This window comes from Homo sapiens, chromosome 17 (genome assembly GCF_000001405.40).
Source record: "Homo sapiens chromosome 17, GRCh38.p14 Primary Assembly".
Taxonomy (NCBI): Eukaryota; Metazoa; Chordata; class Mammalia; order Primates; family Hominidae; genus Homo; species Homo sapiens.
In genome coordinates, this window is record NC_000017.11 from 13,905,098 (window position 1) to 13,930,803 (window position 25,706).

At 43.7% G+C, this 25,706-nt stretch overlaps 2 annotated features.

The window, feature by feature from the left end:
• Positions 17,408-17,940: an enhancer, noted in NCBI's record as "NANOG-H3K4me1 hESC enhancer chr17:13825822-13826354 (GRCh37/hg19 assembly coordinates)". NCBI's record gives its function as "activates a minimal SCP1, AML or CMV promoter by ChIP-STARR-seq in primed H9 embryonic stem cells {active_cell/tissue: H9 hESC(primed)}" and the evidence as "EXISTENCE:reporter gene assay evidence [ECO:0000049][PMID:30033119]".
• Positions 17,941-18,473: an enhancer, noted in NCBI's record as "NANOG-H3K4me1 hESC enhancer chr17:13826355-13826887 (GRCh37/hg19 assembly coordinates)". NCBI's record gives its function as "activates a minimal SCP1, AML or CMV promoter by ChIP-STARR-seq in primed H9 embryonic stem cells {active_cell/tissue: H9 hESC(primed)}" and the evidence as "EXISTENCE:reporter gene assay evidence [ECO:0000049][PMID:30033119]".

Here is a 25,706-nt window from a genome sequence, read left to right on the forward strand (position 1 = left end):
GCATCCCGGGATACCAGCCAGCTTAAGATGCAATCTAGTATAGCACAGAGAGCGTTCGGACACTCGGATTGGGATCAGACGCCTAGGACACAAGAAGCAGGAATAACTGTGAGACTATAGCCACCTGCTATTTGGATGCATCTGATGGGTATGTTTAGTTTCCACTCTGTAATGACTGCCTTGCCTCCTGGGCCCTATTTTTTTTTTTTTTTTTTTTTTTTTGAGATAGAGTCTCGCTCTGTCACCCAGGCTGGAGTGCAGTGGCACTATCTCGGCTCACTGCAACTTCCGCTTCCTGGGCTCAAGCAATTCTCCCTGCCTCAGCCTCCCTAGTAGCTGAGATTACAGGCTTGTGCTACCATGCCTGGCTAATTTTTTTTTTTTTTTCATATTTCTAGTAGAGACGGGGTTTCATCATGTTGGCCAGACTGGTCTTGAACTTCTGACCTCAGATGATCCACCCACCTTGGCCTCCCAAAGTGCTGGAATTACAAGCATGAGCCAACGCACCCAGCCCCTGGGCCCTGTTTTCCCCACAGCCGCAGCCCCTTATCCCTTACCTATAGGCTCAGCTTAGTTTCTGTGCGCATGATGAAGTCAAAATCATGAAGGATTTAAGGAATCACATTTGATCTTCACCCCTGCATGGCATAACTACACTGTGACTTTGCTTTTTGACACCAAGCTTCTGGCCGCTCTTACTCCAACTTCACTTCTTGTAACCTTTTTGGATCGACTTTTGCCTCTTCTTGAATTCCTGAATATTTCTTAGCCCCTAGAGAGGAAATCTCTCTTTGCTTTTATGCCTCCATCCCTGAACTCCAAGCTTATATTTGAGATCCAGTTACCAGCTACCAGGCCCCAGGGATTATTCTGACTCCTTCCTGGAACCTCAGCATGTGGCCTCTTCCCAGCTTTCCCAGGTGCTAAGCTCTGCAGTGTTGGGAGTCTTTGATGTTGTCTGCTGGGTGCTACTACCTGCCAGGTCCTCATACCAACTGCCGTCTTGTTCTAGAGTCATCCAAGAGTGGATATTCCCCTGGCCTCCTGCTGCTGGGCTGGTTTCCAATTGGCTGCCTTCACTGGGTGGATCTCTCCATCCTCCAGGTATCACTGCCCACTGGTCTGACCAACCTCACCAGCAGCCAACCCCTGCTTTGGACAGGTTTAGTTATATGGGTGCCTCTCTAAATATGTTCTGCAGAACCTTGACTCTGCAGTGTTGGTAGACATAATGTACACAAAGGGTTCTATAGTGAAATATGTTTTGAAGAGAATGTGTAAAAGAGTTAAACAGGATTCTTCATGGGAAGATTTCACAGAGCCTTTAATATAATAACACGCACTGACGATGTCTAAGGAGGGATAGAGTGAGCGTTCAGTGTTCCTGAAACTTAACTGTGTTTTGCTCTGAGCATGTTATTGGACTTAATGTCCACACAACAGACTTTGGGAAATGCTAAATCACATTCTTCAGGTTCCAGCCCCATGTTAACCCTTACCTCTTGCCACAGTGACATGAGCAAGGACAGCATCCTACCTTTAAGAAGTGTTTGTGTTGGCTGGGTGTGGTGGCTCACACCTGTAATCCCAGCACTTTGGGAAGCCGAGGTGGGTGGATCACGAGGTCAGGAGATCGAGACCATCCTGGCTGACACGGTGAAACCCCATCTCTACTAAAAATACTAAAAATTAGCCAGGCATGGTGGCGGGTGCCTGTAGTCTCAGCTACTCAGGAGGCTGAGGCAGGATAATGGCATGAACCCGGGAGGCAGAGGTTGCAGTGAGCCGAGATCTTGCCACTGCACTCCAGCCTGGGCAACAGAGTGAGACTCCATCTCAACAACAACAACAACAACAACAACAAAAAAGAAGTGTTTGTGTCTTCATAATCCCAAGCCCCAAATGCAGCCCAATTCATGGGACAGTGGAGCCACATGAGCTGGTTTTGGATCCTGGGCCTTCTCCTTTTTTCTGTATCCCATTCACCAGTTGTTTGACTCTAAAGATTGCTTAACTTACCTGCATCTCTATTTCCAGTTCTGTATCATAGAATGGTTGATATATAATTACATACTTTATTTTGACTATCCAATAATAGCAACAGCTAATATTGAGCATTTGCTATCTACTTATCACTGTTCTAAACACTTTGCCTATATCATCTTTTTTCAATACTCGCACAAATCACATAGTATAGGCATACCCCATTTTTCAGAGAAGGCTATTGAGACACGAAACAGCTAAGTAGCTTACCAAAGTTTACCAGCTAATCATGCTAACCTGAGATTCAAGCCAAAGTAGTTTGGCTGCAGAGTCAGCATTCTCAATTCCCAGCACTATAATTTATTTCTTCATTCAACAAATATCTATTGAGCACCAGGTCATGCTATTGACCCTAGAAGTATAGCAATAAATAGACAGACATTCTTGCCTTCATGGAATTTATATTCTAATGCGAGAGACAGGCACTATGTAAATAAACATGGGCTTTGTTGTAGGTAATAAGTGACATGGAGAAAAATAAAGCAGTGTAAGGGATATGAGAGTCGAGGGGCAGTATTTTGATATCAAGTTGGGCACTGTAGGAGGGAGCGTTTCAATGGGTACATTGTTCCACAGTTTGGCTGAGGCTAGCTCCTGCCTGTGACTAAAGGTGTCCATGTGACTTGAGCTGCATTACACATCGCAATGGGCCACTCTTTCTTCGGGGTTGTCCCAGTGACTTGGCCTCCATAACTATGCCTCTCACTGCGGCTCCTTGAGGGAGATAATTATAGCATAGAGTAACAGAACTTTAAAAGTAATGACTGACTACATAGTTTCCTAAATATTTGTGTTTTACTTATTTGTATCATTACTTTTTAATCACTGTGATTCTAGGGGTTGAGTTTTCTTTTCAAATTTTTCTTTGTATCTAATTTCCTTGCTGTTAGATACAACAGCAAAAGTACAAAAGACAAAAGAAAACCTAAATAAATTGGATTACATCAAAATTGAAAATGTTGTGCTACAATTGATACTATCAAGAAGGAAAAAATACACTTTACAGAATAAGGAATAATATTTGCAAATTACATACCTGATAAGAGACCTGTATCTAGAACGTATAAGGAGCACTTACAACACAGCAATAAGAAGATGACCCAATTAAAAATTAGGCAAAGGCTTTGAATACACATTTCTCCAAAAAAAAAAAAAAATAGAGAAATGGCCAATAAGTAAAAGGAAAACATGCTCAACATCTTTGGTCATTAAGAAAATGCAAATCAAAATCACAATGAAATATCACTTCATACCCACTAGAAAAGCTAAAATTAAAAAGACAAATAATAACAAATGATGACAAGGGTGTATATACAGTGCAAACTTAATTTACCTCTGGTAAAAATTGTAAAATGGTGCAGGTGGTTTTGAAAACAATTTGGCAATACCTCCAAAAGTTAAATATAGAGTTACGATGTGATTTAGCAATTCTACTCCTGAGTATACATCCAAGAGAAATAAAAACAGCTGAGCACGGTGGCTCAGGCTTGTAATCCCAGTGCTTTGAGAAGCAAGGTAGGAGGATGACTTGAGGCCAGGAGTTCAAGACCAGCCTGGGCAGTATTATGAGATACCATCTCTACAAAAAAATTAAAAATTGACTGAGCATGGTGGTACACACCTGTAGTCCCAGCTACTCAGGCTGAGGCAGGAGAATTGCTTGGACCCAGGAGTCCAAGGCTGCAGAGAGCTGTGATTGCACCACTGCACTCTACCCTGGGTAACAGAGCAGGAACCCTGTCTCTCAAAATAATAATAATAAATAAAAATTAAAAATAAATGAATATGAATAAATTTGTAATTAAAAAAAAATAAAGAAAATAGCACGCCAGGCATGATAGCTCATGACTGTAATCCCAGTATGATATGGTTTTGTTGTAATATGGTTTGGTTGTGTACTTGAATTGTACTCCCATAATTCCCACATGTTGTGGGAGGGACCCAGTGGGAGATAATTTGAATCATGGGGGCAGTTTCTCCCATACTGTTCTTGTGGTAGTGAGTAAGTCTCCTGAGATCTGATGGTTTCATCAGGGGTTTCCACTTTTGCATATTCCTCATTTTCTCTTGCCACTGCCATATAAGAAGTGCCTTTCACCTCCTGCCATGATTCTGAGGCCTCCCCAGCAATGTGAAACTGTAAGTCCAATTAAACCTCTTTATCTTCTGAGTCTTGGGTATGTCTTTATCAGCAGCATGAAAATGGACTAATATAGTAAATTGGTACCAGTGGAGTGGGGTGTTGCTGAAAAGATATGAAAGCAACTTTGGAACTGGCTAACAGGCAGTGGTTGGAATAGTTTGGAGGACTCAGAAGAAGAAAGGAAAATGTGGAAAAGTTTGGAACTTCCTAGAGACTTGTCGAATCGCTTTGACCAAAAGTCTGATAGCGATATGGACAATAAGGTCCAGGCTGAGGTGGTCTCAGATGGAGATGAGGAACTTGTTGGGAACTGGAGCAAAGGTGACTCTTACTATGTTTTAGCAAAGAGACCGGTGGCATTTTGCCCCGCCCTAGAGATTTGTGGAACTTTGAACTTGAGCGAGATGATTTAGGGTATCTGGCAGAAGAAATTTCTATGCAGCAAAGCATTCAAGAGTTGACTTGGGTGCTGTTAAAGGCATTCAGATTTATAAGGGAAGCAGAGCATAAAAGTTCAGAAAATTTGCAGCCTGACAATGTGATAGAGAAGAAAAGCCCATTTTTTGAGGAGAAATTCAAGCCAGCTGCATAAATTTGCATAAGTAACAAGAAGCCGCATGTTAATCCCCAAGACAACGGAGAAGACATCTCCAGGACATATCAGAGGTCTTCACAGCAGCCCCTCCCGTCACAGGCCCAGAGGCCTAGGAGAAAATGGTTTCCTGGACCTGTGCAGCCTAGGTACTTGGCACCCTGTGTCCCAGCTACTCCAGTAGTGGCTGAAAGGGGCCAAAGTACAGCTTACGCCATGGCTTCAGAGGGTGCAAGCGCCAAGCCTTGGCAGCTTCCGCATGCTGTTGAGCCTGCAAATGCACAGACGTCAAGAATTTGGATTTGGGAACCTCTGCCTAGATTTCAGGAGATGTGCGGAAGTGTCCGGATGCCCAGGCAAAAGTTTGCTGCAGGGGCAGGGCCTTCATGGAGAACCTCTGCTAGGGCAGTGTGGAAGGGAAACATGGGGTCTGAGCCCCCACACAGAATCCCTACTGAGGCACCACCTAGTGGAGCTGTGAGAAAAGAGCCACCATCCTCCACACCCCAGAATGATAGATCCACCAACAGCTTGCACCATGCACCTGGAAAAGCCGCAGACATTCAACACCAGCCCGTGAAAGCAGCCAAAAGGGGGAATATATCCTGCAAAGCCACAGGGGAGGAGCTTCCCAAGACTATGGGAACCTACCTCTTACATCAGCACGACCTTTGTGTGAGACCTGGAGTCAAAGGAGATCATTTTGGAGCTTTAAAATCTGACTGCCCTGCTGGATTTCAGACTTGCATGGGCCCTACAACCCCTTTGTTTTGGCCGATTTCTCCAATTTGGAAAGGCTGTATTTACCCAATACCTGTACCCCCATTGTATCTTGGAAGTAACTAGCTTGCTATTGATTTGACAGGCTCATAGGCAGAAGGGACTTGCCTTGTCTCAGATAAGACTTTGGACTGTGGACTTTTGGGTTAATGCTGAAATGAGTTAAGACTCTGGGAGACGTTTGGGACGGCATGATTGGTTTTGAAATGTAAGGACAGGAGATTTGGAGGGGCCGCATGTGGAATAATATGATTTGGCTGTGTCCCCACCCCAATCTCATCTTGAATTATACTCCCATAATTCCCATGTGTTGTGGGAGGGAACTGGTGGGAGATAATTTGAATCATGGGAGCAATTTCCCCCACACTGTTCTCATGGTAGTGAATAAGTCTCATGAGATCTGATGGTTTTATCAGGGGTTTCTGCTTTTGCATCTTCCTCATTTTCTCTTGCTGCTGCCATGTAAGAAGTGCTTTTCGCCTCTCGCTGTGATTTTGAGGCCTCCCTAGCCATGTGGAACTGTAAGTCCAATTAAACCGCTTTTTCTTGCCAGTCTCAAGTATGTCTTTATCAGCAGCATGAAATGGACTAATACCCAGTGCTTTGGGAGGCTGAGGTGGAACGATCACTGGAGGCCAGGAGTTCAAGACCAGCTTGGCCAATAGAGTGAGGCACCATTTTCACAAAGACAAAACACAAAAACTTTGCTAAGCAAAGTGGTGCACACCTGTAGTCTCAGTTACTCAGGAGGCTGAGGCAGGAGGATCACTTGAGCACAGGAATTCGAGACTGTAGTGAACCATGAGCATGCCACTTCACTTCAGCCTGGGCAACACAGCAAGACCTTGTCTCAAAAAAAAAAAAAAAAAAACACAACCACAAAAAAGGCCAAGTGCAGTGGTTCATGCCTATAATCCCAGCACTCTGGGAGGCTGAGCCAGGAAGAAGCCAGGGGTTTCAGGCCAGCCTAGGCAGCATAGCAAGACCCTGTCTCTACTTAAAAAGTAAAACATGTCCAAACAAAAACTTACACAAAAATATTTATAACAACATTAAACATAATAGTCAATAAGTGGAAATTTTCCCAATATCCATCAACTGATAAGTATGGTAGTTTTGATTTGTGAAATTTTTTATTTGTCAGTGAAAAGGAATGGCACAACACAGATGAACCTTAGAACATTATGCAGTGAAAGAAGTCAGTCACAAAAGACTACATATTACATGATTCTATTTATATGAGCTATCTCGAATACAAAAATTTATAGAGACAGAAAATAGATTAGTAATTGCCTAGGGCTGGGAGGTTTGTGGGAAATGGGTAATGACTGCTAATGGATAAAGGGCTTCTTTCTATGGTAATGAAAATGTTCTAAAATTAAATTTAAATTAGATGGTTGCATAATTCTGTGAATATACTAAAAAAAACCATTGAATAATATAATTTACAGGGGTGAATTGTATTGCTGGGGCTCAGAAAACAATATCCCAAAATGAAGGGCCTAAGAAGCAGGCTCAGAAGCAAACATTTTTCTCTGACTTTCTCATGCTCTCCTATCTCTGAGTCCCATTCTCCCCCAAGGCTAACCATACAAATTAGAATCCCTCCATCCTACAGCGGGTCATAGAAACCAGAACCCATTTTCCCCAAACCAGTCGTAAAAGCTAAAAATATTACTCTAACTTTTACTCTGCCTTTCTGTATAAATACTGGTCATAAAGAAATTATCTGACCTACCCCATTTGACTGTAGGCTATAAGACTCCATTCTAGAGATGGTCCTTCCCCACACCAAGAAGGAAGAAGGCATTCTTGGAGCAGGAGGTAGAATCTAGACAAACAGGCCCTGCTGGGTTTCCCCACCCAATCTATTAGCATTAGATCGTACTCATTTTGTCCAGTCCTATTTCTACCAGCTGTCCACACTTTGTTGAACCTAAGCACAAAAACAGTCAACTTGGGCCGGGTGCGGTGGCTCGTGCCTGTAATCCCAGCACTTTGGGAGGCCGAGGCGGGCGGATCACAAGGTCAGGAGATCAAGACCATCCTGGCTAACACAGTGAAACCCCGTCTCTACTAAAAAATACAAAAAATTAGCTGGGCACGGTGGCAGGTGCCTGTAGTCCCAGCTACGTGGGAGGCTGAGGTGGGAGAATGGCGTGAACCTGGGAGGCCGAGCTTGCGGTGAGCCGAGATCACACCACTGCACTCCAGCCTGGGCGACAGACAGGCTGGACTCCATGTCAAAAAAAAAAAAAAAAAAAGGTCAACTTTCCCTGCATCTTTAGGTCTTCATTCTAAAGGCTCCTGTGTATACACATTAATAAATTTGTATGCCTTTTCTTCAATGAATCTGCCTTATGTGAGTTGACTTTTCAGCCAAACTTCATATGGTATGTGATATGGTTTGGCTGTGTCCCAACCCAAATCTCAAATTATAGTTCCCATAATTCCCATGTGTCATGGGAGGGACCCAGTGGGAGGTAATTTTATCATGGGGTGCGTCTTTCCCATGCTGCTCTCATGACAGTGAATAAGTCTCACAAGATCCGATGGTTTTATAAAGGGGAGTTCCCCTGCACATGCTCCCTCTCTTGCCTGCTGCCATGTAAAATGTGACTTTGCTCCTCATTCACCTTCCAACATGGTTACAAGGCCTCCCCAACCATGTGGAACTGTGAGACAGTTAAACCTCTTTCTTTTATAAATTACCAGTCTTGGGTATGATTTTATTAGCAGTGTGAGAACAGACAAATGCTGTATGTGAATTATATCTTAATAAAACTATTAAAAAATTTTTTTACTAAAAAAAGATAATTTTTTTGTCTACTAAAATTTCTTTACTAAAAAAGGGGTTTTGCGGAGATGATGGTCAAAGGATACAAAATTTTAGTTAGACACGAGAAATAAGTTCAAGAGCTCTATTGTACAACATGGTGACTGTAGTTGTAAGCTAAAAATAACATTCTAAGGCCCCCTGCCAAACCATCTGAATGGACCCTTCCTCTCGGCCAAGGGCATTCCAAATTTAACCTGAAAAAACTAGCTCAGGCCATGATGGGAAGGGGGAACCAGACATGCTTTACTATACTCTCGTCCCTTTTGGAATTACTGATAGAACGGACTCTTTAAGTCTGATAAGAAACATTTACAATCTATTCTCTCTGAAGCCTGCTACCTGGAGGCTTCAACTGAATAATAAAGCTTTGGTCTCCACAACTCCTTATCATAACCCAGACATTCCTTTGTATTGATAATAACTATATATATATATTTTTTTGAGACAGAGTCTTGCTCTTGTTGCCCAGGCTGGAGTGCAGTGGCGTGATCTCGGCTCACTGCAACCTCCGCCTCCTGGGTTCAAGCAATTCTCCTGCCTCAGCGTCCTGAGTAGCTGGGATTACAGGCATCCACCACCACGCCTGGCTAATTTTTGTATTTTTAGTAGAGACAGGGTTTCACCATGTTGGTCAGGCTGATCTCGAACTCCTGACCTCCTGATCTGCCCTCCTCGGCCTCCCAAAGTGCTGGGATTACAGGCATGAGCCACCGTGCATGGCCGATAATAACTCTTTTAACCAGTTACCAATCAGAAAATCTTTAAATGTGCCTATAACCTAGAGGGCTCCCTGCTCTGTCCCCACCCCTAACCCCACTTTGATTTGTCCCACCTTTTTGGATGAACCAATGTACATCTTACACGTTTTAATTGATGTCTCATGTCTCCCTAAAATCTATAAAACCAAGCTGTACCCTGACCGCCTTGGGCACATGTTCTCAGGATCTGAGGGCTGTGTCATGGGCCACTGGTCACTCATATTTGGCTCAGAATAAATCTCTTCAAATATTTTACAGTTTGACTCTTTTCATTGACATACTTATTAACAATGTATTGTATTCATAAAAATTGCTAAGAGAGTAGATTTAAGTGTTTTCACTTCCAAAAGATAAGTTTGTGAGAGAATGCATATGTTAATTAGTTCAATTTGGCCCTGCCATAATGTATACATATTTCAAAACAACATTTTGTACATGATAAATACATAAAATTTTTATTTGTCAAAGAAAGAAAGTGAGAAAAGAACTTATATCTAAAGAATGTGAGTCCCTTTAAATTATCACCTCCAGAGAGACACTAAAATGAGGCAGCACTCACTTCCTACTCCTCCACTCCTGCCCTGCTTTAAGCTATGTATTTGTCTCTTGGAACTGTTTGCTATCACAAGTAGCTATATATTCACCTAATAATGCCACAGTGAACATTATAACCTACACTCTATAGCTTAACAATGTATAGTCAATCACTAATCAATGTTCTATCAGACAGTGAGAATTTCTGACAAACAACTTTGTATCTATCCTTCTTCTTTGACTTTAAAAACTTGCTTGAAACAAAGGCCAAATGGAGCTCATATTCAAGGCTACTTGCATCTGACTCTTCCAGGCACCTGGCCTCACTTTGGCTCAAGTAAACTCTTTAAATTACATTTTGTGCCTCAGTGGAAGGAAGAAAGGAAGGAAGAAGGAGGGAGGGAGGAACCAAGAATATTCCACCTCAAAATACACACTTCTTTGGCATATTTGGAGATGGATGTTCAGAGGCTCTCCTGCAAGGTGCCTTTTGTGAAGCAGATTTGCATCTGTAGAGAAACTCTGCATTGGTGAAACAAACAGCCAGGTTTTCCCTACCCGCTGTCCCTGATCAGGAATCAGGATGGAGACATGACTACCTCCTAGAAGAGAGAGACTGAAGTCTGATACTTTTGGGGGTCTGACAGAAACTCCCTCTTTCTGAGATCTGCTCACTGTAAGCTTTCATCTGCATAACAAGACATGCTTTGCTAGCCAGGCCTCTTCTCCTCTCCCTCCCAGAAGTGGTTTTGTCCCTGCCCCAAGCCCCTGTTCTTTCCTCAACCTCAGGACAATATAAAACTTTAACCATGTGGCTTTTTCTTTGAGCTTTTCATATACGATAAGACTTCTATGCACACATGTTCACATTAACAAATTGTGTATCCTTTTTCTCCTATTAATCTGCCTTTTGTCAAGTGATTTTCAATGAACCTTCAGAGAGCAAAGAGGAAGTTTTCCCTTGGCCCGCTACAAAAGAAAAATAGAAAACACCAAGCGTTGTTGAAATGTGAAGCAACTGGAAAGCTCACATATTGATGGGGGAAATGTAGCATTTTTTAAAAGGTAGTTCTATTTAAATTACTAATAGATAATATTACAGGAAATCTGCAGACACTGACAAAATTGTAAAGATGTTACCCAAGTGACTGAAGTATGAAAAAAGCCCCAATCTTTAACTGGGCATTCAGGGCCCTACACATTTTAGCTCCACATTCTCAATCCTCTTAGCTGCTCCCCTGCCCCTAGAATACCCCAGGGCACACCAGTTACCTTGCTTTTGTCTTACTGTGAGAATGATAACTGAAATTTACAGAGAGTTAACTCTACTTTCAATGTGGGTAGCCATTAAGTCTAGACATCCATGAACATATGCAATCTTTATACTATCTCTATATAAATAGTTATTATTGCCCACAGTTTGCAGATAAATAAACATGAAGCTACAGAGGATTAATAACTTGAGCCTGACTGCAATGAAACTCATTACTATCATGGTTCCTCTTGAAATAAATGTCTACTTGCCCTCACCTTTTGGGTTGTGTCTTGGTTTTGGATATGGAGACAGGATCAGATGTTCTGCTGTTTGTATCTCCCCACACACAGTGAGGACAGAACCCAAACATGGGTCGCTGTGAGCTCATGAATCTTTCTTGTCTGTTGGTCAGTCACATCTTTGGCTTTAGGATATCTTTCACTTTAGCAGAAATCCCAGGAGACAGATGATGTCTTCAGGTTCATATATACTTGACATTTAGTAAGTCATAAACTTGATTCTGAGCATTACCTCTCATATCTAGGCAAAGTTTCCATCCTTGAGCTTTCCAACTAGTTTAATTTGGCCAAGATCACATCAGCATAGTAAATACTCAGCACTAATTTTTTTTTTTTTTTTTTTTTTGAGATGGAGTCTCGCTCTGTCACCCAGGCTGGAGTGCAGTGGCGCAATCTCGGCTCACTGCAAGCTCCACCTCCTGGGTTCATGCCATTCTCCTGCCTCAGCCTCCCAAGTAGCTGGGACTACAGGCGCCCACCACCACGCCCAGCTAATTTCTTGTATTTTTTAGTAGAGACGGGGTTTCACTCTGTGTTAGGCAGGATGGTCTTGATCTCCTGACCTCATGATCTGCCCACCTCAGCCTCCCAAAGTGCTGGGATTACAGGCGTGAGCCACTGTGCCCGGCCCACTCAGCACTAATTTTAAGGGAGGAGACCACCCATCATATTGTCTTATGCCCAATTTCTGCCTCCAAAGAAAGAAGAAGTAAAAACTAAAAGGCAGAAATGAAATCCACAAGCAGACAGCCCAGCACCACACCCTGGGCCTGGTAGTTAAAGATCAACCCCCAACCTAATCAGTTATGTTATCTATAGATTACAGACATTGTATAGAAAAGCACTGTGAAAATCCCTGTCCTGCTCTGTTCCATTCTAATTACCAGTGCATGCAGCCCCCAGTCATGTACCCCCTGCTTGCTCAATTGATCACGACCCTCCCAGGCGGACCCCCTTAGAGTTGTGAGCCCTTAAAAGGGACAGGAATTGCTCGCTTGGGGAGCTCGGTTGTTGGAAACATGAGTCTTGCGGAAGCTCCCAGCCAAATAAAGCCCTTCATTCTTTAACTTGGTGTCTGAGGGGTTTTGTCTGTGGCTTGTCCACTATGTTTCAGCATAGTGGAGGCTCATGCTGATCTTGTCTTCAAGTCTTAATCTAGGATCAGAAGGCAGAGGTTCAAATGATGAGGCAAGGCTGGCCTGAATACTCAAGGTTGGCCCTCTATTCTGCCTCTGCTACTGTTAGTGAGGAAAGAGAAGGCATCACTCACCCCCTATGTAACTCAGTAGAACTATAGCCCCAAATTCCAAGAAGTGACATGCCTCCCATTTCAGAGCTGAGAAACAATGATCTCCTTGTTTTTCTTCTTTTACCCATTTGCCTAACCTCATATATAAAGGCTTATGTGTCCTTTAATTTCCATGTTCTACCTACATAATCCCTCAGCAGGCTTTAGCTAAGAAGCATGGGCTTCCTCTTTCTATTTCCTCTCTTAATCTTAGGTCCTGCTGATTGCATGCTCCAGCAGAACTGTATGTTATAGCTGGCTCTTTGATTTCCTGCTTATGTCTAGAATGCTGTCAATTCTTCAGTGATTTTACACAGAGCAAGCTCTAGTGTTTGCTTCATTTTCTTTCTCTGCCTCTTATATTTGGCTTTCTCAATACTTTAGTCATATAGGAACAACAGTTATAAATAAGGCCCTTTATAACTCTATATGTGTCAAGGCCCCCATATATCACCTGTACAATGAACAATTAATAGTTGTCTTTGCATTGTCTCAATTTGTATAATAAACATATAGATACACACACACACACACACACACACATACATACACACACATACACACACATGAGAAAGCAAGATGTTTTTTAAAAGAAATCAAATGGATAAGGCAGGAAAAAAGCACAAAAACCAGACTGGGCGATGACCCCAGAGAAAACGGAGTAGTGGAGAAAAGAGCAGTAATTAGTCTTCCAATCGTAAGGCTCTGGTTTGGGGATCCTGATAGGAAAAAGAACTTGGGTTTTAGATTTGATTCTCTGTGCTTCCTTCCCCTAGCACTGACTGGACAAAACTTCAGAGAGCCCGTTTGTTTATTTTCTTTTCAACTGATAGGTACAGTTTGTCTGATGTTTGCCAGGTTATGCAAAATGTCTTCAAAGCCTGTGAATGACCCAATTTAGTTCCCAAGACAGAGAAAAAACATCATGTGCAAAGCATTGTACTCCTGTTATGTGGTTTAATTTATCTAACAATTTTGTGAAATAAATATAATTATTTCCCTTTCTTAAGAAACTGAGGATCCCAGAAATCAAATAGTGACCAGAACAGACAGTGGTATGTTATGCACAAGCTTTTGAGAGCTAGGTATACACCTCTCTTCTCAAATCCGTATATAGTGATGTCAAGTCATTAGCTTGGAATCAACCATCCTGAGAGCATTTGCACTATGGAAATTAGAAAATGCTATAAATGAGTGCTTTCTTTGAGTGACAGTTGTCAAATATTTTATGCTACTGACAATAGTGTTATAATCGGTAGCTACTTAGACATGAGCAGGGCACGAGAGGGCCCCCTTCCCTCAACTAGGAATGTCAGATGACCAGCAGGTGATGGCCAGGTGGTTGTTAACTGTCTCTCTAAAATATTAATTGGTTGCAGCCAGCACCAGAGAAAGACAGTCTCCTAATAGATAGAAATACCTGAAACTGATGACCAGCAGCTTCCCAATAAGATCTCAGGAGTTAGGCAAGTGGGCTCAAGCATGCACACTGAAAAGCAATTTGGTGGAGTTTAACTGGGATATGGCTGATGTGGTTTGGCTCTTTGCTCCCCACCAAATCTCATGTTGAATTGTAATCCCCAGTGTTGGGGGAAGGACCCGGTGGGAGGTGATTGGATCATGGGGGTGGATTTCTTCTCTTGCTATTCTCATGATAGTGAGTTTTCATGAGATCTGGTTGTTTTAAAGGGTATAGCCCTTCCCCCTTCCCCTTCTCACTCTTCCTCCTACTCCCACCATGTAAGATGTGCTGGTTTCCCCCTTCACCTTCTACCATGATTGTAAGTTTCCAGAAGCCTACCCAGCCATACCTCCTGAACAGCACATAGAACTCTGAGTCAATTAAACCTCTTTTCTTTATAAATTACCCAGTCTCAGGTAGTTCTTTATAGCAGTGTGAGAATGAACTAATATAATGACTGCCCTCTGGGAACACTGGACTGGTAAGGGAAGAATGCTTCAAGTGAGCATGCGTACAACTCCAGCAAACACATTGAAAACGCGGCCCCTCTTAAGTGCTGGCAGGCCACTGCGCTTGTGGACAGTCCCTCCCCAATGGAAGAATCAGGGGAGAAGAGACACAACCCCCTGGAAGCATGCCAAAATTTAAAACCCCAAGTCAAAAGGTCAAACCATACACTTGATCTCAAGTCACCCACCTGGCCCTCTTCCAAGGGTTCTTTATCTCCTTTTATTCCTGCTCTAGAGCTTTTTAATAAACGTTCACTCCTGCTCTAAAACTTACCTCTGTCTCACTTTGCCTTATGCCCCTCAGTCAAATTCTTTCTTCTGACCACGCAAGAATTGAGGTTGCTGCAGACCCATATGGATTCGCCACTGCTAACATACTTTGGTGTCGTGTGACTCAAAGATGTTCCCTAGTGCTAACAATAGGATTAGAAACAGTCTTTTAGACACAACTGTAAGTTCCTCCTTTGAGGCTAACACAGACCCTTCAATAGGCTGAGATTCTACCTCAGAGTTTTGTCTTCCAGCAAGTACATTACCATCATTCCAAAATGACTTCTCTGGATACTTTCTAACTTTATATTTACGGCCCTGCTCCGCACTTTGGTCAGCTTTGCACTCTCTTCATAATTTGTGCCAAGCCTGCATACCACCTGCACTATTAGTCATTTAATATTTTTCTTTAAATTGCCTCAAATTATTTTGTATATTCATAAAGATGTTTTTAAAGGAAACTAATGGATAAGACAGGCAAAAGTGGAAAAAGCAGGAAAGAACAGAGACAATCTGTTTACTCTGTGTTAGAGGACAAAGCCCACAATTGCTACAACATGGAGAGAAAAGTGGGCTTTGAGGGTTGACAACCAAAATGAGTGACTGAGGTAGGTGTCTCCATCCATCAAGGTTTACTGAGCCAGCTTGAAGGCACATCGGGAAATAGGCAAATCATAGATGTGTCTGTGGCTGTTTTTTCCAAAGAGACTCTCAGGTTTAATATTTACACATTTTCCACTAAAAAGAGGAAGCAGTTAAGCAAATGATTACATACTTGGAGACTTTAGTTCGTGCTCAATAAGTCTGCATTTGACATAGATATGTAAGCCCTTGAAGAAAAGAGAGTAGAGGAACAAGACAAGCAGACGTCTCAGGGTGGGGTGCAGGACCCATTAATCTTATCTTGTCTTTGTTCCTTACCTGGAGAGATAAGCTAGGAATAAGCATTATCAGTGTGGAGACTTTTGAAAGGACTGTTTTCTGTTCAGCCCTTAGGGAAGAAACCCTACTGGCCATTAGCAAGAGAGGGGATATAATGAGACCTATGAACCCCCCATCTGGTTATGACCAGGAACTCAGCTTTGAAGGATTTTCTGAGGATCCTTCAGCCAAGAAAGGGGTCTGTTCAGTCAACTGGGGGCTTAAAATTTTACTTTTATTTCTCATTCACCACTTTTGGTGAAGATTTGCCACAGACAGCATCAATGGCCAAACCTTTATTTTGTCCCGTATCATTGTCAGAATGATGTTGCTGCCCGCCCCAGGTCCGTCCTGTCCATGACCCATCCTGTGGTCAAAAGACTTAGAGCCAAAAATCTTACAGCCAATTTCATCATTCCAGACAGGAACGGAGGTGGACAGGTATCTATCAACCCTTAAAACCTTTTAAGCAATGTAAGAGCCAAAAATCAAAGCCAAAAAGAAAGGTTACAAAATTGGCTTATCTATAAATTCTATGCATTGTGCTGCCATAATCTTGGTTTTAGTTAGACTGGTAGCAATGAGATGTACAAAACATAAGCATTTTGCTAAAACCATTTAAGCTTAAGAAGTTAGAGGCTTTTGTTATGCCAAAATGCTTGACACCTTTTTAGTAATTTGTCCTAAGGTGGCCAACAAATTTTTTTGTCATATCTTTATTTGCATAAACCCCATAACTGAAAACAACTATATGCAGAAGGCTCTATTGCCAGGTATCTTGGTATCCTCTTGGTAATTCTCTTTTCAGTCTATGGGAAGCAGGAAATTCTTTATGGTTTGGATAGATGAAAAGGAGGTCACATAATGACTCAGGAGGCAAAGTCCCTCAATTTGCCAGCTGTGTGTCTGTGTGCTATCTGTGTGTTGGTCCTTGATTTGGAGGGTCTGAACTAATTATTTCCCTCGAAACTAGTCCGTATAATCTCCTGTGCCTACCTCTTCTGTGATAGCCCCTAGGCTTACAGAGAGGGTGCTTATGATATGAGAGGGAGGCAGGGAAGTGCTGGGTAGAGAAGGGTGGGGTCCCTGGCTAGGTCTCCACCCTCAGGCCTGTGCCCACGGACCTAGGTGAGGGCGGGCATTTCTGTTTTTGTGCCCAGATGTTGCATTTTCCAAGACAACCCTGGCCTGCCACTCCCTGCATCCTGTGCCTATAAAAACCCTGAGACCCTAGTGGGTACATACACAAGCGGCTAAATGTCGAGAAGAACACACCAGCAGAAGAACACACAGACACTGACAGGCCATCCATGACAGAACAACGCGGATGCCAAGGGAAATTTGGCTGAGGGCGGTCAGAGGAGAGCCCAGCTGCTGAGTGGCCTGTCTCCAGGGGAAGACCACCTTCCCATTCCATCCCCCTTCTGGCTTTCCATCCACCTGCTGAGAGCTACCTCCACCATTCAATGAAACCTTGGACTTATTCTCCAAGCCCGCGTATAAACAGATTTTTCCAGTACACTAGGGCAACCCCGGGATACAGAAAGCCCTCTGTCCTTGCAGTAAGACAGAGGGTCTAATTGAGCTGATTAACACAAGACGAGTGCAGATGGCTAAGTTGAAAGAGGACACTGTAACACATGCCCACTGGTGCTTCAGGAGCTGTAAACACTCAGCCCTAGATGATGCCGTGAGGTTGGAGCCCACGTTCCCCACGACCTGCCTATCTGCATTCTCCCCCTAGGGGGTTGAACTGCAGGGCGCTGAAGAAGCCAGCCAGTCCCCATGTCACACACCCTGTGAGGGGAATAAGGAAACTCTTCCTGTTTCAACTGGGGCCTTGCCTGAGATCCCGGAAGGTGAGTGCAAAAGTGAAACTGTTGGATCTGCCTCTTTTCCAAAATCCTGCCACCTGTCTCTCTTTCCTGAAGGCAAAACGTTCTGTTTCCCTTCATGGAGTTTTAACTGCCCTAACGGGCCGCCAGAATCCCCAGACTCCATCTCTTTTCTCATTCTCTGTCTCACAGTTTGAAATGGCTCTTATCTCTTCCTTTATAATGTTAAGAGTTTTGCTACAGGCTGTGGCAATGTTACTAAGTAAAATGATTATTCGGCTCAGCCACCAAAGGTGCAAATCAGACCAACAGTTGTTAGAGGTAAAATCTCCTCCCCTGCCCTGACAGCTGCAGGCACCCATGGCTCAAGGCACCTCTCATTAGCCTATCCCCTCCCAGGTTGGGGGCCTGGGCATGTTCACGGCATGCAAAGGTCATGCCCAACAGCCATCAGGGGGCAGGAGGAGAAGTGCCGCCATGGCCCACGCTGCCTCCACCTCCATAGCCTGGGATGAGCTGGAAGCAGGAGAAAACTGCAGCAGTAGGTGGCACCCCACAGGGCTGAAGGGTGGGCACTTCTCACCCGCCACACCAATGGAACTTTTCCTCTCCTGGCCAAGGAATTCAACCCAGTCTGATCTGGGGGAAGAATACAAGGATTAATGGAACCCACTTGCCCTGAGCCAGGGGCTCTTCCCCCAGGACCTCCCCTTTTGCCCCTGAACCTGTTTTTCTATTTTTCTTTTTTTTTTCTTTCTTTTTTTCCTTTTCTAAGTGAGAGGGCTCGCCCTTCCCAGCACTGTTTCTGATAGGGAAGTTAATGGGGGAATAGCCCAGGCTGGCTGATAACTGCAAATTCAGCAGGGCTCATTTGAGACACTCTAAACGGATACAAAACAGCCTCTGAAATACCTTTTCAGTCCTAAACTCAATTCCAAGCTTCAGGCTGAGGCCCTAAAAAGAAAAACCAGGTCAGGGATCCAAAGCCAGGCAACAGGCATGATGTAAATGGCCAGGACCAATTCCTGCCGACTGAACCCCCCACCCCATGGAAGGAGGCCATGCTCCGTGGGCTAAACAGGCCCAGGGAACTCAAAGGTTGTCGACAGCAGGGAGAAAGGGAGGCATAGGGGAGGGTGGTTAATTCCTGTTCTCTAGGTCTTCCCTGCTTCATGGGTACACACCACATTGGTATCTATGGGCAGCACGTGCCAAGGTTGCCGGGCTCGAGGATAAAATAAGTGGAAGGGAAAGGGGGAATGCTTGTTTTCTCGCTCCATCACACTCTGAGTTTTCACTGAAAGAAGGAAGGGAATGAGGGAGACCTCTATTCCCTGTCTTTCAGAATGGACAACCAGATCGCTTCACCATACCCAGCTTATACTCCTCTGGAGTGTATTCGGAACCACTGGCACTGCTTTAACCTCAGAATCTGGAGGAAAAAATGCCTCATAGCCCTCTGTACAAAGGTTTGGCCAAATTATGAAGGACTGGGTTGGCCCCAGGAAGGAACCATTCATTTCAACTCCATCTGGCAGTTGGAACTTTTCTGTAGACATGAGGACAGATGATCTGAGGCCCCATATGTGCAGACTTTCTATACCTTGCAAGGCAATCCAGGCCTTTGCGAACAGTGTAGGATTGATCCAGCCCTCCTGTTTGCCGTCTCAGGGAAGGCTGCAAGGGGCAAGCCCGGGGAATTAAAGATACAAATCCCAGAGGCACTCCCAGCAGAGGAGCCAGCTCTCTCAAGCCCTGCTCCTCTGGATCCACCTCAACCTCCCTATCCAGCTTCTGCCTCTTACTTGCCCCCTCCTAGAAATCCTTACCCTAAATAAGCCCCAGTCTCCCTCTTGCCCCTCCAACAGATGCCCAGTGTATTTGGGCCCAGTAAGGTCCAGGTCCCCTTCTCCTACAAAACTTAAAGCAAATTAAGTTGGATCTTGGCAAGTTTTCAGATGACTCTAATAGATATATACAGACTTTCCAGAATTTCACTCAAATATTTGAACTCTCCTGGAGAGACGTTATGTTACTTCTGAATCAAACCCTGATGGATACTGAAAAGCAGGCCATTCTGCAAGCAGCAGAGAGATTTGGGGATGCGCTTTGTATCACATATGGCATCAGAGAAGGGGGCGAACATTATCCAACTGGAAGAGAAGCAGTACCCGTGGATGACCCTAAATGAAATCCCAACAATGAAATGGAAAACTGGAAGAGGAGACACTTTCAGGTGCGTGTAATGGAAGGCTTATGTAGAACTAGGACCGGGCCTCTCCATTATACTAAGTTGTCCATGATCAACCAGGGATTCAATGAAAACCCCACTGCTTTCTTGGAAAGGCTAAGCGAGGCCTGGGTAAAGCACACCTTTCTGTCTCCTGATTCGTCTGAGGGACAACTAATCCTGAAGAATAAATGTATTACTCAGGCAGCCCCTGATATCAGGACGAAGTTACAAAAACAGGCCCTGGGGCCAGACAGTATTTTAAAGAACCTCCTGAAAGTAGCCACCTCAGTCTTTTATAATAGAGACAGGGAGGCCCAGGAAAGAGAGAGGAAATACAGGAAATGGAGGCTTTAATGGCTGCCAGGCAAGCCCACAAACCCCAGAATTCCCAGGGTGCACCTGTTAACTGCTACAGATTTCAAAATGGATTGCCCAGCTGGCATGAGGAAGCCACCCCGACCCTGTCCAATCTGCAATGGAGACCACTGGAGAGTGGACTCTCCCCAGGGATGCTGGTTACTGGGTCTAGAACCAATCTCCCAAATGGTCCAGCAGCATGACTTCTGGGTCCCGGCACTCCTCTTCCCGGCTCCAGTGGCCTACACAACCATTACCATCCAGGGGCCTTGGGTAATTCTGGAAATTGAAGGGAGGAAAAAGGACCTCCTCTTGGACACTAGAGCCAGTCTCTCAATTCTCTCCAATCTGGGCTCCCTTTTTATCTCAGCATGACCATGAGGGGCAGCTCAGGAAGGCGTCTAACCCAATATTTCTCTCAACCCCTTAGTTGTAGCTGGGGAGACCTTTTGTTCACTCATGCTTTTCTAATTATGCTTTAAAGCCCAACTCCTCTGTTGGGCAAGGATATCCTGGCCCGTACGGGGAACACCATTCTGATGTCCCCTGGGCAAACTCTTTGTCTCCCCCTAATGGAGGCTGATATTAACCCAGAAGTTTGGGCAACTTGAGGGAAAATTGGACAGCCATACTAGTCCGGGTCCATCTTAAGGATCTCACCTCCTTTCCTAACCAGAAACAATATCCCCTGAAACCAGAGGTCAGGAAAGTGCTAGAAGCCATGATATACGACTTAAAGATGCAGGGCCTCCTCAAACCCTGCAACAGCCCTTGTAATACCCTGATATTAGGGGTATGAAAACCCAACATGGAATGGACGCTAGTTCAGGACCTCTGCCTCATTAATGAGACTGTGGTTCCAATGCACCTGGTGGTTCCCAATCTATATACCCTGCTAGCCCAAATGCCTGAGGGGACTAAATGGCTCACAGTCTTGGACCTAAAGGCATGCCTTCTTCTGCATACCATTACACCCTGACTCCCAGTATTTGTTTGCATTTGAGGATCCCTCTAACCAAACCACCCAATTAACCTGAACGGTGTTACCTCAAGGATTCCAAGACAGCTTCCACTTGTTTGGGCAGGCATTATTGAGCGACCTCTCTGAGTTCCTTTATCCTTAGGTGAAGGTCTTGAAATAGGTAATGAACTTCTCTTCCGTGCTCCAACTGAGGAAATCTCTCAGGAGGGCAGTAAGCCTCTCCTTAATTTTCTAGCTAACAGAGAATATAAGGTTTCAAAACCAAAACTCAACTCTGTCTGTCTTGAGTGAAGTAACTAGGCCTGGTCTTGTCAGAGGGGACCACAACATTAGGCAAAGAGAGAATTAAACCCATCTCCTCCTTTCCCCTCCCCAGAACCCTCAAGCAACTGAAGGGATTCTTGAGCATTACAGGAATCTGCAGACTACTGATACCTGGGCACAGTGAAATAGCTCAGCTATTTCATTATTATCATCTAATAAAGGAGACTCAGGCAGCTAAAACTCACTGTCTAACTTGGGAGCTGGAGGCTAAAAAGGCCATCGATCAACTAAAACAAGCCTTGCTTAAGGCACCAGCCCTCAGTCTCCCCACAGGGAAAACGTTTAATCTTTGTGTAACAGAGAGAAAGGGAATGGCACTGGGAGTCCTAACACAGACCTGGAGTCCAGCCCAGCAGCCTGTAGGCTACCTAAGTAAGGTGCACATTTTGGTAGCCAGAGGATGGCTGGCCTGCCTCCAGGCAATCGCAGCAGAAGCCTTGCTGATACCATTGGCTACTAAGTTGACCATGGGGAATAACTTAACTGTTTATACCCTGCACAATGTGGCAGGACTACTGTCTTCTGAGAGACAATAGTCTCCTAGAAGACTAATAGACAACTGTCTCCTCAAGCATCAAGCTCTATTGTTAGAAGGATCTACGGTCCAATTAAGAAACTGTCCCTCCCTAAATCCAGTCATCTTCCTCCCAGATGAAGCTGGGAAACTTGAGCATGACGGCAAACAAATAGTAGCACAAACTTGAGCAGCAAGAGAGGACCTCAAGGAAACTCTCTTAGAGAACCCAGACTAGATTGTCTTTACAGATGGGAGTTCTTTTGTAGAACAAGGAACCCACAAAGCAGGCTACGCAATAGTTACTCTAAACGATATTATTGAGAATGCACTTCTTTCCTCAGGCACAACCAGCCGAACTAATCACCCTCAAGAGGGCACTTAAGCTAAGCAAAGAAAAGACAGTTAACATATCTACTGATTCTAAATATGCTTTCCTAGTCCTTGACACCCATGCCACTATCTGGAAAGAGAGGAACTTCTTCACAGCTAATGGGTCTCCTATTGAATACCATCAGGAAATTAACAGCCTATTATCCTCAGTCTTCCTCTCATGGGAAGTGGCAGTGATACATTGTAAAGGCCACCAAAGAGGGATGGATGAAATAGCTGAGGGAAATGGGCTGGCAAACTAAGCAGCTAAAACAGCAGCCAGGGGGTCCCCAGGTCTCTGACCCACTTGAAGTCCCATTGGTCTGGGAGGGCCTCATCAGAGAAATAAAACTGCAATACTCTCCCGCAAAAATAGAACGGGCCACCTCTCAGGGATACATCCTTCAGTCCTCAGGATGGCTACAATCAGAGCACGGTAAACTTCATCTACCTGCTGCCAACCAGTGGAAAATTTTTTAAAGCCTTCACCAGGCCATCCACCTAGGTAAGGATAAAACCTATCAACTGGCCCAGAGATTGTTCTCAGGTAAAAGCCTAATACAAATGGTTAAACGAGTTGTTACTGCTTGTGAGAACTGCCTGAAAAATAATCCCCTCAATTGACAGCTTCTTCCTCCAGGAACCCAAAGGACAGTAGGCCACTAAGAAAAAGAGTGGCAAATGGATCTCACTCATATGCCAAAGGCAAGAGGCATCCAGTCCTCCTAGTGTGGATAGATATTTTCACTAACCAGGTAGAAGCAATTTCATGTCAGACAGAGAAAGCCCCTGAGATGATAAAAGTACTAATCAATGAGATAATCCCTCACTTTAGACTCCCTAAGTACCTCCAGAGCAATCCTGGCTTTTTTGCTTGGCTTCCTTCTCTATTAGATTACTGGCTTTTGGGTGGAGCCCTTTAGTGAATAGGGAAAAGAAAGCATGCAGTTCTTAGGGCCTAAACTGCACTTTTTTGTTTGTTTGTTTGAGATGGAGACAAAGTCTTACTCTGTCGCCCAGGCTGGAGTGCAGTGGTGCAATCTCGGCTCATTGCAACCTCCACCTCCCAGGTTCAAGTGATTCTCCTGCCTCAGCTTCCCAAGTAGCCACCACACCTGGCTATTTTTTGTATTTATAGTAGAGATGGGGTTTCACTGTTACGCGCGTCCGTGTGAAGAAACCACCAAACAGGCTTTGTGTGAGCAACGAGGCTGTTTATTCACTTGGGTGCAAGTGGGCTGAATCTGAAAAAGGAGTGGGCAAAGGGAGATAAGGGTGGGGCAGTTTTATAGGATTAGGGTAGGCAGTGGAACATTACAGTTAAAGGTGGTTATCTCTTGCAGGCAGGGACAGGGTCACAAGGTGCACAGTGGGGAGATCATGAGACTCATTGTCCAGGGGAGGGATACACAAGGTCGATTGACTAGTTAGGGTGAGGCAGGAACAAATCACAATGGTGGAATGTCATCAGTTAAGGCAAGAACTGGTTGTTTCACTTCTTTTTTGATTCTTCAGTTGCTTCAGGCTATCTGGATGTATACGGGCAGGTCACAGGGGTTATGATGGCTTAGCTTGGGCTCAGAGGCCTGACATTCACCATGTTGGCCAGGCTGGTCTCGAACTCCTGACCTCAGGTGATCCGCCCACTCAGGCCTCCCAAAATGCTGGGATTACAGGCATGAACCACTGCACCAGGCCCTAAACCACATTTTTTTTAACCCAAATGTGCAAGAAGCAAGTAGCCCTCTGTAGTAATGACCATTTACCATAAACAACTTCCATCAGCCACCTCTAAAACTGTATCTCTTACCCAACCATTACACACACCAAAGTCTAGTTTTCTCACAATATAATGTAATTTCTGGCACCCCCCACAAAAGCCAAAGAGATTAGGTAACAATTCAAAAGAGGGCAGAGCTTTAGACCCAAGAAGACCATCACTCTTGAATCTTCACAAGGAAAATGGAAGACCTCCACAAAAGGGGTGAGTAATACATTTTTCCGGGTTCCTAAAGGGGTCTGAGTCTTCTCTAGATCTTTTCAAACAATACTGAATATGGCAAAGAGGAAGAAGAAGTAGGAAGAGTAAAAGTAAAATGGGAGAACAATTTTTAAGAAAGGAAATGAACAGAGGCATTAAGCACATGTGTTCTTTTTTTGAAAAAGATGTTTTAGTCCACTAAAATGTTTCCAAAACAGGATCTAAAAAGAAAAAGCAGAAAGGACTTAAATTTTATATATGTATGTGTGTATATATATATTTATATATAGTATATATATTTATTTATATATGTATATGTATATATATTTTATATGTAAATGTGCATGTGTATAGGTATGTGTTTATATGTAAATATATATATTTATATTTTATATAAATCTATCAGCTTTTAATTAAGCTGACTTCTAACAGTAGGACTCTTTTTAAAAATTTTTTCAAGTAATTTATTACCAGATTTTAGCTGAGAGAAACAGCTGATATTTCAAGTCAACAGAAATATCAAACCAAAAGGGACCGATTCCTCATTAGGAAGACAACCCAAGCCATGATGGGAATTTTAACCACCAAACTACAAAATGGACTAGCCTCCATGTTAATCCTGAATGGAGTTCAAAGTGGGCAGTTTGAGTGTAACTGTTTTAGGTCAGATTTTTGATCTTTGACTTAGTCAAGATAATTTTTAAGGGTAGCCATGACACTATTATAGCTCCTTCTTTTAATTTGATCTTCCCACCAATTGTTAAGAATAAGAGATCTCTAAAATCCCTTTCTTTATTGTTAAGAATAAGAGATCTCTAAAATCCCTTTCTTTAAAAAGGATTCAGGTGTCCAAAGGATCAATCTTTTGGTCATTGACAATTAGAATTTTCAGTGGTATATTTAATCCCAATAGCAGCTCAATTCAGTAGCTCACTCAATTTCAGTGAGTGACATCAATGAACAGCCACATGCTTCTAATAGTGTACACACCATACTCTGGGGAACATGGCCTCCATATAGACCAACTTGGTATCCAAAAAGGAAACGAAGTCTGTTTGTATGATCCCTTCTTAGGGGATGCTTGTCATTGTCTGACCATTGCTGAATTCTTTAATTTTCCATTGTTATATAGCCAGATACAGAATTTTGCCAAGGATTGATACCAAGCTTAACAGTTTAAATAAACCAGATCTTTGCTGTTCCCCTAAATGGAGATCATCCAAACATTGTCAATTGCTGTACTAGCTCTCAACACACACACACACACACACACACACACACACATACACCGTTATTACAAACAGTGATGGTTACAATCAACTGATCCCATGTTACGTGCCAGTTCCCCTGCACTCATTCTTTCCAGTCCTGACAGCCCTAAAAACTATGTATTATCACCATTTTAAAGATGA